Source organism: Homo sapiens, chromosome 21 (genome assembly GCF_000001405.40).
Source record: "Homo sapiens chromosome 21, GRCh38.p14 Primary Assembly".
Lineage (NCBI taxonomy): Eukaryota > Metazoa > Chordata > Mammalia > Primates > Hominidae > Homo > Homo sapiens.
Genome location: NC_000021.9, coordinates 17252211 through 17272123, shown reverse-complemented (window position 1 = coordinate 17272123; position 19913 = coordinate 17252211). Strand labels below are relative to the sequence as shown.

At 34.5% G+C, this 19913-nt stretch overlaps 1 long non-coding RNA gene across 2 annotated transcripts in view; it reads right to left on the bottom strand.

Moving 5' to 3' along the window:
* Window positions 1-962: 962 nt before the first annotated feature.
* The window catches only part of LOC107985511 (uncharacterized), a 79588-nt gene continuing 60637 nt past the window's right edge, over window positions 963-19913 (bottom strand). For both annotated transcript variants that reach the window (XR_001754975.1, XR_001754973.1), the window contains 2 exons: window positions 11993-12061; window positions 963-1832 (listed from right to left, as the gene is read on the bottom strand). This is a non-coding gene — a long non-coding RNA (uncharacterized LOC107985511). The remainder of the gene's footprint in view (window positions 1833-11992; window positions 12062-19913) is intronic.

Here is a 19913-nt window from a genome sequence, read left to right as displayed (position 1 = left end):
AAATGTTGCTGCCTGATCGTTCCTCTGGCAGTTTTGTCTCAGAGGAGTACCTGGCCGTGTGAGGTGTCAGTCTGCCCCTACTGGGGGATGCCTCCCAGTTAGGCTACTTGGGGGTCAGGGACCCACTTGAGGAGGCAGTCTGTCCATTCTCAGATCTCCAGCTGTGTGCTGGGAGAACCACTACTCTCTTCAAAGCTGTCAGACAGGGACATTAAGGTCTGCAGAGGTTTCTGCTGCCTTTTGTTTGGCTATGCCCTGCCCCCAGAGGTGGAGTCTACAGAGGCAGGCAGGCCTGCTTGAGCTGCGGTGGGCTCCACCCAGTTCGAGCTTTCCAGCCACTTTGTTTACTTACTCAAGCCTCAGCAATGGTGGGCTCCCCTCCCCCAGCCTCACTGCCACCTTGCAGTTTGATCTCAGCCTGCTGTGCTAGCAATGAGTGAGGCTCCATGGGCATAGGACCCTCCAAGCCATGCGTGGGATATAATCTCCTGGTGTGCCATTTGCTAAGACCATTGGAAAGGTGCGGTATTAGGGTGGGAGTGACCTGATTTTCCAGGTGCCATCTGTCACCCCTTTCTTTGACTAGGAAAGGGAATTCTCTGACCCCTTGTGCTTCCCGGGTGAGGTGATGCCTTGCCCTGCTTTGGCTCACACTCAGTGCACTGCTTCCATTGTCCTGCACCCACTGTCTGACACTCCCCAGTGAGATGAACCCAGTACCTCAGTTGGAAATGCAGAAATCACCCATCTTCTGTGTCGCTCACACTGGGAGCTATAGACTGGAGCTATTCCTATTCAGCCATCTTGGCTCCACCCCTGTTGTCACTTTTTAGGGAAAGTATTTGCTGAGCTTCTTATTCTACCATTTTGGAAGTCCCCTTTTCAGAAATATTTAATTGTTGATAGGCATGATTTAGTTTCTACCTAGTTTTTGATCAAGCATCAAGCAGTTGAGATTCTTAGATAATCAAGTGCATTTTACTAATGACTCCATAAATATTATATTCTGATTTTTAGAAACATATCCATATTAGAAAATGTACATGAACAGGGCTAATTTTCTTCATGTATTGGAATGAATGTTTTGTATTTATTTTTGAATTCTTTTCCTATCCAAACTCTACAATTGAAGATAATGGAACAGGAGATAAAATTGAAAGCTTTTGAAATTGTCTAGATAGTAGACTGAATATTTGCGATGTATTTTCTACTCTCTTTTTCTTGATTACATTTTAGTAATATGAAATAAAAACGGTCAGCCATTAACAGCAGAACATATGCAACCTATTTAAACCAAAAGTCTTTCAAGCATCTCAGGAGCAGACCTGAGAAGCTTTTCTAAGTTAAATGTACAATAATCATCTAACAAGAATAATCTGACACTTTATATGTGACCATGATGGCAAATAAAATTGGATTGCTCCCAATTTGATAGCCCATGGAGGGTTGTACAATAATTTTATGCTAATTCTAAAAAACCTATGATTTCTACTTTTAGAAATTCATGATCAAATTTATCTTCTTATCTGTGTGGAGTTTAGGAAAGAAACACATCATGCTAAAGACAACAAAAGCCTGAACAAAGTCCCTCTATTTAGTCAAAATAGAATTTCACAAACAATGGAGTTTAAAATTCAAATGTCTTCAAAGCAGTTGTAATAATAATTGTTTCCACTAAGGTGTGCTAGATCTCCAAATATTATTCATGCTCTCCTTGTCTTACCACACTGCACTGAATTTCACCGTGTTCATTGCCTTCCCCAGGGCTGCCAAGCATTTACCACACAGGAGGTTTTTAAGCTGGAGCAACAATGTGCTGCACACAAATTCAGCTAAAACACAAAAGAAGACAAGAAATCATTTAAAAATGTTAAATGAAAAGAAAAAAATAGTTGCATTGTGAATTGGTGATTTTTATAAACAGACTCAGGTATTGACTTTGATTTTGCAGAAATAATTTGGTTTGTTTGAGAAATTCTAGAAGGTTAACCTAATAGGAGGAAGTTTTTCAGGCAATTTTTCTTCTAATAAAACTCTCTAATGTCCTATTATTATTTATAACTAGTGTTACGAATGTAAGTTATCTTTTGCTTTAATAGCGTATCAGTCTGACGCTATCATTTGTTCATGATGATTTAAATCCCTAGAGGTTCCTGAGATCATCTAGTGAAGTTTGAAAAACAACTAACACAAAAGAGCAGCTCTAAATAGTGTGTCAGGCAGAAGATGGCACAGATTTGGGAGTATAACAAAACCTTTTAGTCTGTAGAAAGAAAAATTAATTCTTATTATTTGCAATACTGAAGTTATTTTTTTAAACAAATCTTAAAGTTATCAACTAGAAATTTAGCTATCTTGGTAAAAGCCTTCTCTATAGCTGGTAATTTAATGATAGACTCTGAAAGATTTGCCAGGAGAATGTGCTAACTTTTCCCAGAAACAAAATCTGGGTTCTTCATAGGGATTTCTATGCACACATCCACCTTAGTTTGAAAGCATTTTTATATATGCAAATAACTTTTTTTGGTCATGTAATTTTACTTAGAATGTGAATGGGAGTTTCTTTTTTTTCTTGATTTTACTGTGATTTCAGTTAAAAAGACAACTTGCACTTTCTCACCTCTAAATGAATATGATTGCTTCAGCAGCTTGTCCACTTAAATAATTTGGTTTCATGATTTTGATTATATTCACTAATCATTGTAATCAATGGCCATCTTAATAGTAATTTTTAAAATGTCAGCACTAAATTTACATTAACCTTAAAGAAAAACCTCAAATATTTTAGTACTTAAATTGTTACCATAATTTATTTTTGTAAACAAAAAGCAGTTTATAGTCAGTTGAACAACTGGAAATCAGTTGATAAGTAACTAGATATAGATTGTTTTAAAAATAAAAAATTTTTTGGATCAAGCTGGAAAGTTTTTACCAAAATCAATATTTTTTCATATATATAGTTGTAGTTTCGTAGTTCATGTTATTATAAAATATTATCTTACTTAGACCAAATTTTATATTTAAAAAGTCTTTTTGGCTACGATACAACTCCTTTTGTTTTGATAAATTTTCAAAGTAATAGTAATGAAAATGCATAATCAAGTAAGTGAATTTTCATATACATGAAAAATTTCATTAGAGTATTGGAAAAATGACATGTTTTATAATTCTATTGCCTTTTCATGTGGTTATTAAATTAGTGAGTTGACAAATGTGAAATGACGTCTGTACTTTTACTGAGATATGTTGTTTAAGTAACAGTAGTGTGACTGGGAGACAATTTAGGACAGTAGAGTTTTTACACTCTTAACCGGGAAAATTTTTTCATTTGTGAGATCATTTGAGTTAATTTATTGTAACTACTGTATCCATAATTTTTGCCTGCTAAAGAATGGCGATTATTATTTCCTAAAACCTTAAATAAGGGCATAAGATTAATTAAACCCATTTTGTTGATCCAGAGGAAGAAGGAAGTATTTTGTATTTCAAAATATAAGTTTAGAGAGATTATTATTTGATGTTATGGAAATATAAAACAAATAGAAATTTTATACCCTGTGTTTAAACTTCAGATTTTTAAAAAGTACTTTCTAAAAACAAAGAGGAATGGATGTTGAATATCACACACAGCTAAAAGCTAATAAGAGAAAATTGTAATCATGCAGGAAGGTATTTAAACCCATTAATTACTTGTTAAAAGGATATAAATGAGAAAATAAAAATCTTCAGCATTTAGAACAGCAGCCATTCCTGCTGAATGGAAAGCACTGTGCAACTTGAAGGTAGATTGACTGGAAACTTTGGGAGGCAAGTAAATGGTGCCTGACTTGCGTTAAGACACAGCATTTCATCTGGTTTAGTTTTAGTTTAGGTTTAGGGCATTAATATGTATCTTTTCTAAAAACAAAGCATGTTTTGAATTTATTTAGAAATTCTACCCGGAATATTTATACCAATTAATACTCTATATTTAACACACACAAAAAATAAAAGGCCCCACTCCATTTCCTCTTTGACAATAAATGGAACTAAGAAGTCTTCCCTAGGAATGCTTTCCCAGAAATATTTAAAATAAATACAATTAAGATAAATTCCGTAGATAATTTTTTTGAGAAACGTGTGCATGTAATGTAGAAAATTTAAGTGTTATTATTTATTTGAGTAAATGGGGTAAGGTACAAGCCCTGTGTAAATTAGAAAACATTGCCCATCTACATCTGAAGAGGAATTTGGCTTGGTTCGATGCCAAGGGTCAAGTAGAGGCACAAATCTCACATGTTGGAGGTCCTGGGAGCCTGACCAGGAGGACTCAACGGAGGACAGATGGAAAAACTACAGACTGATCTTATTTCACAACTTTAGGAGGATCACTCTGAATTTATTTTTCTTTAAGTAGGAGAGAGCTACATTGTACATACGGAAGCTTAAGTTTGGAAAGAGGAAAGCTGAAAAGAGGAAACTTCCAAACTGTTTGTGGACAGGTGGGACAGGGTGGTGGTGAGGTGATGGTGGAGACCAAATCTTGGAAGACCCAGGTGATGCTGTATTATGTGCACAGTGTCATTCCCCTGAAAGCAAGTCAGCTTACAGAGATTCAGGACCAGAGAAAAGATAAATTATAGTAAGAGGTCAGGAAGGTAAAAAATACAGATCCAGGATTTTTTTAAAAAATTAAAAGTGGTCTACAAATTTGATTATATATTTCTTGGTAGTCAAAGAAAGTTATTTTCATCATCTATGGAGAGAAAGTATATCAGTTTCTCATAAAAAGCAAATAATTTCCTTTCATTGTGTTCTAAAAGAATATAGGAGAGAATTTTATGATTAGTAGTTTATTACTTTGTATTAAGATTTTTGTCTTTAATTTTTCTTTTAAAATGCAAAAGCTGATAGCAAATATATGCTGTATTAAGCCACTAATACCTGCAAATTATAAATAATTTTTATATAGTCTGTGTTTGGAGGTTGGGCTTAATTTTTTCAAAGGTTAATCATGGAATCTGTAAAAGAATGGTTTATAATTTAGATTTCCATTCCCTAGGTTTTATTAGTTCCAGCTCTCTGAGTTTAAAATTGCCTATATTGGAAAAGAAATCAAATACGTGATTACCTGTATAGAAAATAATTTAATGGAACTACTAAATGATAACTAAATTATAATTTTAGACATTAGGCACACTGGAAAATCTTTATGGTTTGCTGACTTAATCTGTATTATCCATGTTGTCACAATGTCAATAAACCTTCACTTTTTAATTAAAAACTTTTTTTTTTTTTAAGAGATGGGGTCTTGTTATATTGCCCAGGCTGGAGTGCAGTGGCTATTCACAGGTGGGGGATCATAGTGCACTGTATCCTCCAGCTCCTAGGCTCAAATGATCTTCTAGCCTCAGCCACCCAAGCAATAAATCTTCACTTTTAACAGGTGAAGACTGAGGGTTATTTCTGTGAACATACTTTCTAACTAGGTCAAGTTCAGTATTATTGATTCAGGGAAACCAGTTTTTAAAGAGAAGCAGCATCCACAGAGCAGCTTCTAATTTGTCCTGTGGCTAATCTTGAGGAAAGGGGGGGTTGTAATTGATGTTAAAGACATGGACTACAATATACCTACGTGAATAGTTTTTAGATTTGGTGATGGGTATGCAATATTTGACATGGGTGAGTCACATCATTTTATTTTTTTACCTTCTTCTTCCCTTATGTTTATTGCTTCATATTATTAAAGAACTGCTTGTCCACTTCATTAACATTTTAATCATGAAAGCCAAAGAAAGCATTCTACTACAGGATATATCTCCATGTATGTTGGTTTTATTTAATATTCTTCTTGTTTTTTTCAATAATTAATGTACAAATAAAGAAAAAATAAATTGCACTTAAAAACCAAATAAACTCCACAACTCAACAGCAAATAAAGGATTATGCTGAAATATGAGCTTTGACAACACCAAAACCATGAGTAAAAATATAACTTATATTCATTTTTAGCTGTATAATTATAAAAGTAACTACTTGTAACTACTTTTATAATTAATTTTTGACATTGGTGTCATGTGATATATACAAAAGAATAGAAATGACAGCTATAATCAGCTATGCATTTTGTATACTTTTTTCTTTTCTAAAGTGAGTTTGAAATGGCTGAATATATAGTTTTTTACTGTGATCTCATAGGACAAAATTGTTAGTGTCTCTCTAAGATACCCAAATATTCCAAAAGAACATGAAGCATACCAGTGTGTTTCTTCTCTCTAGTCTTTGTTAGGGGGATGTTTAATGTCCCTGAGAAGCCTTGAAGATGCTCATCAGTTTCTCTCTATTTTATCGCCTACTAAAAAAAATCCTTTGTTATGACTATCCTCTAGTTAAAGAAGAGAAGATGGGGCTTCTTATTTTAATTGGTCAGTGGGGAAATCCCTGCCACGTGACAAATCATGTTCTTTTCATTGCTGAACACGGTTTTTGCTTTTCTGTGTTTTCAGACCTCACAGTCTGGAGTATGAGGTGTTTTATGTAGGACACAGCGGTAGGAAAGAGCTTCTAATAGTCTACTGGGTAGGGCATAGATTTAATTTCTATTAATTTTTCTAGATATCATCTTGGGAGCCAGAAAGCCAGACACTTAGTCTCTTAAATGTGTATAGGATATAATGTGTGCGTATGAAATATTTCTACCTCCCCAAATGTTCATCCAAAATAATTATAAAAAAAAGAAAAGAGGAGAGACAGAACTAACTATATGGAATGGAAAGATCTAGAAGACTTCTAAGTAAAGTGAAATGATATTATGGGATGCCAATGTGATAATTTACCTCAGCTAATGAAGTCGAAACTAAAATTGAATTGTATATTCAACAGAGGGCCCAGTCCTTTTTAAATAAATGTATTTCAGAGTATAAGTCAGTCAGCTTAAGGAGCTACTACCAATATAACCTGAGACTAGATAAGAGTTGCAATATTAGCTATTTGCTCTCCTTAGCTTTATTTAAGAAGAAAATCTTCCACTGATATTTTGTTGTCAACTATGTAATGGCAACAAAGGGTTTTCTTCCTCTTAATAAGTCTGAGCATGATTATCTACTGTTTTTAATACTTCAATATTAAGTTAAATGTAATATTTTTATAGCTATGTAAATGAATTCCTATATTTTGGTAACAGTTACTAATTTTGGTAATTGAAAAACATATTTTAACATAAAAACATATATAAATCAAGATTTAACCTTCTAGGTTTGCTAAACTCTTGTTCGTGACTATAACATTCAGAGTCAATTTAAAATAGATATAATTTATTGTTATTTGTTTTTTTTCCAGCAGAAGATTAGTTGTTTCCAGCATATTTTTGGTAATTACACATATATTTCAAAAGTTTATTTTCATGTTTTCTTTCTATGTGGTAAAATTCTCTTTTAAGTTTTCCTAGTATTATTTTTGGAGAAAATATACTCTCTAAACTTGTCCTATGCAGATATAAATTTTAATGTCCTTGATACATAATACATTCTCAACAGAAAGTCACACAGACAATGTACAAGAAAAAAGGCAGTCTTTCCCCCCCTCAAGACTGTAAAGTATTTCTGTCAGATAGTAAAAACGTAAAGTTAGAATTTATTGGACAGAGGATGGAGGGCAACCTGTTGTTATGTTGGTATTCTCACAATTTTTCCATTTAAAAATATACAGATTTAATGTGGCATTTATAAAGGAAAACATCATCCTCGCTGTATGAAGTCATGAATACCATTTTATAGAGTGTGTTATGGGGAATTGTGGTTTGAATTTTGAATTAATACAGAAAAACTAAGGATACCAACATAAAGCAGTCTTATGTTTATGCAGACTTATTTACCCAAAATGTGGCCCTTATCTGAGGTAATATTTACACAGCATAAGCAATCTGAAGAAAATTTCTTTTCTGAAAGATCTTCATAAAACAGTGCCCTAAGAGACAACTGTTAAACTACAAGCACTGTTTACTTTTAACTCTCTTTCTTATTAACTCCCTCCCCAACACTGCTTAGCATTCCAGAGAAGGCTAGAAAAATATTTATTCTGGTCTCATTTTTATTTAGATTACTATAAAATTATCCATTTATAGAAGTAGGTAATGTATTCTTTGACTCTTTTTAGTATGTAATTCTGGTCGTAACTTACTTTCAGGAATTTAGAAAGGAGATGTTACATAAGGCCACTCAAAAGTAATACTATATACTCTGTATTAGCTATGTGACAAATGGAAGAAAATGACCACAGATGTTTGTTACTAATAATATTAACGCTCTTGATTTCAAGAAATATTTAAAATACATGAAATAAATATAAAAGTCCAAGGACTTACATGCAATAAAAGCATATGCTGCATGTGCCCCTAAAGTTGTGTGTCATACTGTTGGAAAACTTTTAAGTTTAGAGACTGTCTAAAAAGTCAGGCAAAATTATATTTGCTAGTGTGATTATAGATTTTAAATGTGATAAAATGACACAGGCCAATAGAAATTGGCAAAATATAGTTTTCATGGGGCTATAACAGTCGTAACAATAAAATTACTCATTTTCTAAATTGAAAATCTCTATTCATACCCAAAATAAATTGGAATTATTTTGAATGATAATTTTTTTTAAGGAAGATAGGGAAAATACCGTAGTAGCTGTTGAAATTTCAGGCATGTGTAAAAAAGCATTTTCATTGTAATGCTAAAAAGAGATATGTATTACACTATAAACACTGGTTTCAATTTGGGTACATTTTAATTTTAGGCAAAGTTTTCAAAATATGCACAAAAGCTTCTTATTGCAGATAGGAAATAGCAACTAAAAATGGGGTTATTCTTGGAAGGATGATGATCAGAGGACACCTACCAGGCAATGTGGACTTAAAAGTAATAAAATTGATGTTTAAAGCCATAAAGATTTTTACTCTACAAAACAAAATGTTGCACATATAGGTTAAGACACTGGTGTTATATGCAAGATATTGATTTAGATTTGACAGAAATGTCATACTCTCTATTTAGTTTAGAGTTTTAAAAGTCAATAAACTAGAAATAATATAGTCCTTAAGTACTTTAAAAGGACCTTAGGGGAAGAAAAGATACAGATATTAAATGAGTAATCAGTTAAAATTTAGCAAAGCAGCCTAATTTAGACTTCTCTAAATTCATGGATAGTCTTCTGGCTTTAAAGACGGTTTGATTATTTTTATGTGCACAGCCAGGCAAACCAAGTAAACCAAATGTTGTCTTTTTAAAGTTACTTTAATTACTAGCTAAGAATCATTTGCAATTAGTAGAGTGTACAAACAACAATACTTGCTCTTGCTTACATAGCAATTACTTGTGTGTAAATAGAGACCTGAAAATTTGTAAAATAATGCTTTTCTCTAAGAATGAAAATTTTTTATTTGGAATTAATATAGAGTTATCTTTGTTTATAAATAGTGAAAGGTAATTTCACCCAACATCTTACTGAATTAAAATAAATTCTGTATAAATCATCTTTGAACTAATGCATTTCTAAATAAAAGCAATTTATGTATTGCTTGTTCAATGTATTCTTTTGAAGGCATTTTATTTCTTCACACTCTTGCTTCCATGATTCCTATATTGACCTCATCTTATACAATAGGAAGTCCATGTACAAACAAATCCCTATTAATATCCAAAATAGATTGGAGATAATTTGTTTTTAAAAGAGATTCTTCACTTTGAAAAGATTCACACTGGAATTACTTTGAATAATAATATACCCCTGATTTCATTAAAACACACACATTTTAGCTCATGCATTTTTAAGATTATAAGTTATTTTCAAGATCATTTAAAACAGTACTTTTCAAAGTTTAATAATGCATATACAAATCACCTGGAGGATATTGTTAAAATGCAGAAATAATTGAGGAACTCTGGATGGGGCCTAAGATTCTGCATTTCTAATAAGTTCCCAGGTGCTGATAATCTCAGGGCCATACTTTGAGCTACAGGGACCTAAAACATCTATCTAAATGCTGTTGATTCTTGGATGACCTGACCTTTGTAAAGTTTTTTTTTTTTTAATTTATATAAGGGTATGGGGCACAGGTAAAATTTTGTTGCATGCCTAGATTGCATGGGGGCCAAGTCAAGGCTTTAGGGTAGCCACCACCCAAATAATGTGCATTGTACCCATTAAGTAATTCTCATGCGGCAAGATACACCTTGCATGTCTGTAACAGCAGATTTTTTTCTACATTAATATTTCCTGAAAGGCTCAGAAGAAGGAAACCAACTGTGTTACTACCTGGATTTAAACAGACTTAGTTTTCATAGGCTCAAACTATTTCTGTATTCTAAGAAAAATTTGTCCTGATTTGTGAACTCAGTTAAGAGATTTCAAATCTCTGAGTTTTAGATTTCGCATGTGGGAAATGAAGAATGGAATGAATACAAGGCTGAACCTGTAATAGATACACAAATATATTTGTTGCATGAATGAAATAATCACTCTCAGCTTTATATTTTCTGGTTTTAGAAATCAAGGGGAGAGTGCTTTTCTTGAACAATGAAACATATGTCTAGGTCACATTAATAAAAAGTGATCACATTTGCATTTTAAAAACACTAGACAGTATCCTGGGCAAGGTGGCTCATAGCTGTAACCCCAGTAGTTTTGGAGGCTGAGGCAGGCGGATCATTGAGGTCAGGAGTTCGAGAGCAGCCTGGCCAACATGGTGAAACCCGCCCCCCTCCACTAAAAATACAAAAATTAGCTGGGCGTGGTGATGCATGCCTGTAGGCGCAGCTACTCTGGAGGCTGAGAGAGAAAAATCGCTTGAACCCGGGACGTGGAGGTTGCAGTGAGCCGAGATCGCGTCACTGCACTCCAGCGTGGGTGAAAGGGCGACTCTGTCTCAAAACAGCAACAACAACCACAACAACAAAACATTAGGCAGAACATGCAGACAGCAGGTGAAGAGAAACAACTTCGATGAGAATGCATTAAAATTGTATTTTCAATTTACAGCACTCTCTGGGCTCTTCGGTATCTAACTGTTCTGAAGATGGCCACAAAGAGGACATAGGTTGACCTTTTCCTAACCAACTTATCTCAGGAAAAATATACATTCTCTCTCCTGGTCTACTTGAAAGACTTTTTTTTTTTTTTTTTTTTAGCTGAAAGAAGGTTTCCAAGCCCTTTATTTCAATAAATCTTTCCTGATTAATTTAGGAAGCACAAAGGAAGTATCTGACTCCTGTAGATACCACACTTCCCTATCCCTCACCATGTATTTATTCTTATATTTGACTCTTTTATTTTTTTAGTAAGTACTTTTAAATTTTATATAAAACTTGTTATAGGCTCTCTAATTACAGACTACAATGACTCAACCAAAAAGTGGTGAACATGATTTTAAAAAATGGCACAAGCTATTTGAAATGGTAAGATCCAAGACATAGGTTCGTGCTAACCATGACTAAAAATAGGTTGTTCTTTCTTTCCAGACCAACACTATGACTCTGTATCTTTATACCTTCAACTTATGTTCACAAGAAACTTCTGAGTTATCTAACTTGAGAGCTTCTGAGGACATTTTTAGGCTGACTTCTTTTGTGTGGCTACATTAGTAGGGTAAACAGTGTGGGAAGGAAAGGTGTCAGCAGAGCAAAGTCATCAGTCATGGAAAGTAATACCATATGCTTGTCTTTTTTCTAACTGGCCAGAGCCAAGTCACGAAATATGGATACACCATCTTTTGCAGGTTTAACCTGGCAAGCAGTGAAATCATGTGGAAGGCTTCTCTTGGGTTTTCACAAATCAGAGTTTAGATTTAAGGGAATCATATAAAGAAAAAGTTTGCTCAGGGTGGTAATCCAAAGAGTAGGAACCCATAAGAACATACTATTTGTTAAAAGACGACTGAACTCTCTCTGTTATTAAATGGCCATCTTTTGAGCCTCCCCAAGAGCCTTCCCACCTTTCTAACTGCCTTCTTTCCCATGCCCCAGTTACTTACCTAGTTGTGAAATATTTTTTAATGTCACCTTTGACTTTTCCCAACTTAAATTGCATCTATTTTCATATTCTAGAAAAAAGAAAATAGCATTTGAAAAAGGAAAAGATGATCAAGCACTTTCAAAGACAAAAAATACAATGCATCTATAAAGGCAAATGTAAGTTAACCAGCTGTGTGCAGGACACTAAGATTTCTCTTTGGCTGCTTCTATCAGTGAAAGTAGACTACTAGAAAATATTGGCATCAGGAATCTCCTCATCAATCTAGAACAGGAGAATCTTTGAAATGCAGAGAAAAGACTACATGAGGCTACTCCCCTACCTGCCAAATCTTTGAGGTCCTCTTTAGAAAGATGATTCTAGCATTGGAATAATAGCATTGTGGTATGGCTTTAAAAAATTCACAGAATAATCTTAGTCAAACTTGTTCAAGTACAATGTCACTCTTGGGATATGTTAAATTAGAACTTGTTTACGTGGTGTTATTTTAAGGGTCGATTCTCTAAATATCTCCTCAACCAAGTGCCATGATCTTTAGAAACTAATTTCTGTGAATTTTTATTTTCTTTTTCAGTTAGTGGGTTTTAATTTTCAGTGCAATGCTTTTCAGAACCTTAGCAGCTGTGGCCCACAAGTCTGGCTAAGTCTGGCTAAGTCTGGCTCTCAATGTTTTCTCCAACTGTTAGGCGGCATTGAGTGACTAAATCTGATGAACAGGGAAGACTTCTGACAGACACTGAATTGGGAGAAGGAGCCTTCCTGCTCCGAGACCAGTGACATGTACTTGGAAATGATGGTAAGAAAAGGGTGTGTAATTACAATGATGAAGGGAGTCATCACCTCTGGGGACACCTGCAAATCCCTGCCTACTAAAGGAGAAGCTCAACTCAGACAAATCCAGATACATTTTTATGTGTATGTTTCTTTCTTAAACTTGAAGAGAGAATTAAAATATAATTATTAATTTGAAAAGTAATTAATATTGGTAGCTCTCATTAAGAGTAACATACGCTATATTCCCAAGATTGACAATACTGAGTGATTTAGGAAATGATTTATTTCCAAAATCTCTGTGGCATTTGACAGAGTTGATCACACTGTTCTTAATGAAAATTTTTTCTCTTCTGATTTTTTTTTTATATTATCTTGGCTCTTTGGGTATCTCTGACAACTAGTTTCATATTTATGTCCCTTACTGTCTCCTTTTGTTGCGTTTTTTTCTTCTTCCCCAAATGCTCCAGATTTCTATCCTCATACCACCACCCCACCCCATGCACAATTTGTTTTTATCCAATTCTCACCATTAAGATTGTAGCAGCTTTTATTGCTTCATGCAAATAACTCCGAGATCTACAGCTCCGCTCCAAAGCTCTGGCTACCCATTTCCAACTGCCTGCTAGACATCATTATTTGCATGTTCCACAGTTTCTTTAAACTAAAAATTTCTCAAAACAGATTTATCACCTTCCTCCACAAAACAACTCATTATTCCTAAATATCCAATTTCTGCCAGATATAACACTTTTCTTCCATTGACTCAGCCTGAGAAATATGGGGTTTTGTTGGAGTCCTTCATCTCTGCCTAATTAGATATCTCTTCTTCCTTTCCATCTTTTAAGTTCTGCCTGTCTCGGCTTTAGTTCACAGTCTCAAGACTCCTTCCACACTTAATTCAAGTGCTATTGTAAGGTATACTTGTGTACTTGTGTATCCACATCAAAGGATTTAGAACTTACAAAGCAAAAATTGTGACTTTCTACTTTTTAAGCTTGGGGCACATAACACAGTATTTCAAGCATAGCAGATATAAAATAGATAGTTGTTACATTATAAATCCATATTATGGGAGTAGTAAAAATAATAAAACATAAAAACAATGCCCAAACATGATCATTAAAACAAAATGCTAAAACATAGCAAATACTATTTTACTGATTTGATTTGGAAAAGAGCCTTGACTAGTCAACGTAAGTTCAAATTTAAAGTGGAATTTCTTTAAATTATTTGTCCTATATTGTGACAAATCCTGTCTCACAAGATTGACTTTAATAATTTAAATGTTTCTTTGGATTTTAGATTTGAAAGCTAAGTGTATGTAGGTGGAAAAAGATGACTCTGACTTGAGTTGATAGGATTAGGAAACACCCCAGCTGAGTAAGCTTTTGTGGCTGTGATTCACCTAAAATGCAAAGGGTAGAGAGTTGTATAACTAATGTTAGAGACAGAGACCAATTTTAAATACAGGAGAGAGATTTAGACTACTAAATACCACCTTGCTTATGCAGCCAGAGATAATTTCACTTGTCTTAGAAACAAGAATTGAAAGTGGCATTAGTTTTAAAGCATCCAGTGAAACTAGCATAATGACCACATATCTTTATTCTCCGTCTAAATGAAAATCACATGACAAAACTGAAATGGGCAAAAGTGGATAGAAAGGCCTTTGGGTATTATAATTGCCAAGATATGGACTTATTAATATTCTAGTCAGCTTATGCTTCTGGCAGTTTCTTATTGTCAGCCCCTGTTTTCCCTAGTATGGATTATTTGGAGTTTGGGAGTCCAGCACCTTCAGATCCAGCATTATCCAGTTATGGAGCCAATTCTGAACCAGGCTGGCAGAACATTCATAGACCCATAATCATCCATAGGTGAGAATTAGGCTTAGTCTCTCTTGTGTCATCTCCCTTGTTGTTATCCCTTTACTGTCTTCACTTTGCTTCCTATCTGGCTTAGATTCCATGCATTAGTAATTTTTTTTGAATAAAAATTTTCCACCTCAGGGATAAATGGTGATTGAAAGTAAAATCAAGTTCAGTTAGAGAAAAATAGAATGTTATATTGCTTTTCATAAATTACGTATCTACGCCAGTTTCAATACCTCTCTAAAAATAGGCAAAATTGCCTTGCCCTTCTGTCTTTCATCACTTCTCTCTGGCAAAGTACCAGCCCTTCATCACCTGAAATACCTGGTTTCTCTAAGAATGTGCATAAGCAAACGAGCACTCATAGAGAAAATAATGAACTCAGCATAGTGCTTTCAACTTCCATTCATTAGTTCCTTACTTGGACCTTAATATTGACCAGTGAGCCTGCTACACTTTACTGGTCAACCCTCTCCCATTCTGTGCAAAAAATATTTCACAACTTTTCTACTCTCCTCAAACTTCTGCATGTAACTTTGTTACATTCTTCACAGAGTATATAAAAACCACTGGGTGAGTCTTCTCAACTTTTTGTCACCAAATCTATTCATGTACTCATAGACGGATGTATCTACCTTCATTTTGTCTTCAGTTCTCTTGTACAAGATAGTACTATTCTTCTTTCTAGCTAAGGTCCAGTCTTCCATCTCTTGCTTCTGATTATATTCCTGCTATCCTTCTCAGGAAACTTATTAGCTTACCTTCTCTTTCCCCAGTCACTAAACCAGGATTCCTCTACTCAATCATTTCCATGTACATTTAAATGTGTTTAAGTATCTCTTATCTTAAAATAAAAATGTCAAAGACTGCAAGTAGTATGTACTCCACTTTCAAACTATAGCCCTATTTCTATTCTCCTCCTTGAAGCCAAATATCTTGAGAGAGTTAGTATTTGTTGTCTTGTATTTCTCACTGCTTACTCATTCTCAGCCTACTTCACCTACACCAATTATTCCAGTAAAATTTTCTTTTATTTTCTTGTTTTTGAGACAAAGTCTCACTCTATCGTCCAGGCTGGAGTGCAGTGGTGCTATCTCGGCTCACTGCAACCTCAACCACCCGGTGGATCAAGTGATCCTCCCACCTCAGCTCCCCGAGTAGATGAGACTATGCGTGCATGCCACAATACCTGGCTGATTTTTTGTTTGTTTGTTTGTTTTATAGAGATGGGGTTTTGTCATGTTGCCCAGGTTGGTCTCGAACTCCTGAGCTCAAGGGATCCACCTGCCCAGGTCTCCCAAAGTGCTGAGATTATAGGTGTGAGCCACTGCGCCTGGCCACTCCAGTAAAATTTTCTTAGTTAATGTGAACAATGACCTTCATGTTGCTAAATCCCATGATTATTTTCAATTCTTATTTTACTTTGACTCCTCAAAGAAATTTGATGATCTGACAATCTTAACTACTCCCTTCTTCTAACATTGTGCTTTATTATTTCTTTCATCACTTGTTTATTCATATGAATGTCATATATGTTCAGCATAACTATGGTCATAGGCTACAAGGTATTATTAAATGGAAGGAAAAAATCACCTGTTCACAGTCCCACTCTATAGGGTAACTACTTATTTCTGTTTTTAGGTGTTGTAGTGGTTACTATCATAATTTTCAGCAGTGTACTTATACCTCTATTTCTTGATATGTTAACTTTATAAGAGTAGTAATAGATTTCATGGTATAAAAGATGGTAAATTTATCTAATTTATACTTCCCCATTCCTCCCCCAAGTTTTGTTGATTACATTTGTAACAGGATGTTGAATGAAAGCTTCTCCTTTGACCCAAGGCTCAGAGCTTGCTAAAGAAGGGGCTTGAGATAAAGGGAGATGTTTGAATTGGATACAAATTTGAAATTCTGATTTAGACAAAAGTATACCTTTTCAACATAAGTCTTTTATTACAAAATTACGTTTGTTTCTGTAAGTGAAAGTGACCAGAGAGCCAAAGGATGTGCTCAGATATTAGTAATGGAAGGAAAGAGAAACCTCAGAGTATGACTGAAGGCAACTTTCAGAGGAAAATCATTCCTGTTTGATTCTGGATCAAACAGGAATCAGAATCTTTAATTTACCTATTATATATTATGTTTGTTTTTCTATTGGTAGCATTTATAACTCGAGATACAAAATATAAATTTTTAGTTCTTTTTTTCATTTAGAAAGAGAAAATTGATACTTTTTGGCATGCTTCTCACAAGTCTCCACTTCTAAACTCCTGTCAACTACATCTTCACTCTCAAAGTATAAAGTTTACATTTTATTGTGCAAATATAATCATTTTAGGCACTTTGTACACTGATTCTGAATACTGAAAGCAAAGAGTTTTGCAATACTTTGAAAATGTAAGTGTTATTTACTATAAAATCAGGTAGTGTAATTGGATTTACAGCTAATAAATATAATTCTAAGTCATTGAAATAATCCTCCTTTATATAGATTGTTTCAAATATCAAGATTAAATGGATTGTCTTTCTATCATTTTCTCAAAATGATGCTTAATTTTAGTTTATTTTATATTTGAACCATGAATTACTTGTATAGCATTCTACAAAGCTGGAGGCATCATGCTACCTGGCTACAAACTATACTACAATTCTATAATAACCAAAACAGCATGGTACTGGAACCAAAACAGCATGGTACTGGTACCAAAACAGATATATAGACCAATGGAACAGGACAGAGCCCTCAGAAATAACACCACACATCTACAACCACCTGATCTTTGACAAACCTGACAAAAACAAGCAATGGGGAAAGGATTCCCTATTTAATAAATGGTGTTGGGAAAACTGGCTAGCCATATGCAGAAAACTAAAACTGGAGTTTCTAATTGACTTCTACGTTGTTTTACTTATCACTTAATTAAGATCTTTTAGATTCTTGACATATAATCTGTTATGATTTCTGTTTCATTCTTTGTCCTAAAGACATTTTTTTTCTGGAGTTCTCCTATTTGCTTTTCTAATTGGTATCCGTTGGTTTCAAGTCTATTTCATAGCCATAATATTGGGTCTCCTTTTTACTGAGCTCCCGTGTTGTTCTAGAATTTTTTGGACCACTTGTCTTTTACTTTTTGATATTTTCTTATTTATTTTGCTAGAGTGGATCCTCAAGTAATTTTTAGGAAGAGTGTGTAGGTATGTTTACAATCTCCTATTTATCTGAGCCTTCATGAAAATACATGTACTTTTTTTTTTTCTTAGCTTAATTCTGCCTGCTTAGGACTTAATAGGCACTTTTCATTTTGGAGACTTGTTTTTCCTTAGCTTTCAAAGAATTTTTCTGTGTGTGTTTTTTTTTTTTTTTTTTTGATGTTTTTCTTTCATTTTGTCTTCTCTGTTCCTTCTTCTATTATTCCATTAGATGAATGTTGGATGCCCAGAATGAACCCTATATAACATTTAAATTTTGTTTTATATTAGGTGTTTTTCTTTTTTTTTTAATTTCACACTTTTCAATGTGAATTCAAATTTTCTTCTAGGTCATCTGATATTCATCCCACACCGATTTTATTCCCAGTTCTTCAGGCATCACAACTAGTAGGCACTTAATGCATGAGTTAAGGAAGCTGGAAATTTACTCTTTGTGCATACTTGGAACCATAGTGCATGGAAAAATGCCCACAGGTTACATTATTAGAATTAAAAATTCAGTGATTAAGTGCCAATTATGAGTCAGGCATTGTTATTGGATCTGGGGATACACTCGTGAATGGAACAGGACTTCTTATTTTATTTATTTATTTTTGAGATGGTGTCTTGCTGCCACTGCCCAGGCTGGAGTGCAGTGGCACAATCTCGGCTCACTGCAACCTCTGCCTCCCAGGTTCCAGCGATTCTCATGCCTCAGCCTCCTGAGTTGCTAGGATTACAGGCATGCGCCACCATGCCCGGATTCCCTGTTCTTATAAACTTAAATTCTCTGGAGTGCATAGAGGGAAGGAAAAAATAAACAAATAAATAGAAAATATGTATGAACATGCATACATATATTCAAAAATAGATGCATGAAAAATTAATTGTATAAATAAATAAATAAGGAAAGTATCACATTGTGGATAATGCCGTGCAGAGAATTAAAACAGTGATATGCTGCAGATTGGTTAGGTAGTCACCTTTAGATTGGGTTGTCAGGTACAGCCCGTTTGAAGAGGTGACATTTAAGTTGAAATTTGAAGGGATAAGCACAGAAGGGTATTTGAGGCAGATGGGACAGCTTGTGCAAAGCCCAAATGTAGAAACAGAAAGAAGGCCAGGGTAGTCAATGTGTGGTGCATGCAAGAGAGTAGAATGATTGAGATTAGAAACAAAGACAGACTTCTGGGGGTTTTGTAAGTCAGAGAAGAAATTTGAATTTTCTTTCAAGTGTTATCGTAAATCATGAGGAGATTTTTAAGTAGGGAAGTAGTACCATCTGATTTGCCTTTTAGGATGATTTCTCCCATCACTGTAGAAAGAAGATACTGTAGTGGCACTGAAGTGGAAGCAGGAGGACCAGTGTAAGAAGGCTACCATTATAGTCCAGATAAGACATGATTGTGACTTTGACCAGCCCTAATAGTAGAGGTGGAAATAAGTGGATCCAGTGAAATTGCAGAGTCAATGTGTACATGTTTTTTTGATTTTGCAAGTTGTTCTCCAAAAAGATTTTACTAATTGATACTCCTCCAATGGTGTATGAGAGTATAGGATAATAATAATGTGAAGCTAGAAATTGTCTTAGAAATCTACACATTAGTTTTACAAAGGATGAAGACAAGATCCACTGATCTTATATGCATTAGTCTAAGATGACAAGTTCTTTCGCTGGGAAGGGACCCCAGGCATCTGCCAAGTTCTGGTGATCTATTATATACCACAATATTTTCTCAGGATTTCTCTTCTCTATGTGGCTTATTCTTTTTTGACACTCTGCTACAGCACCTCTCCATGTTCTGGATGCACAGATATGTACTGTATTTCTTCCTTTAGATTAGGAGCTCTGAGGGGAGGCAGTACCTGTCAGCCTGTGTTATAGTGCACAGGAAGACTGGCACTTAAGAATCATCAATGACTGCAAAAGCAAATCACTGAAAAAAAGAAACCAATCATTCATTATGTTATTTTTTTCTGCCACAATTTGGTCACTGAGACTGGTGAGTCCCAATAGCCCTATCATAGTTATTCAATATGTATACTCACATTTCAGGTACTATTAGGTAAAGAATCCAGATACTC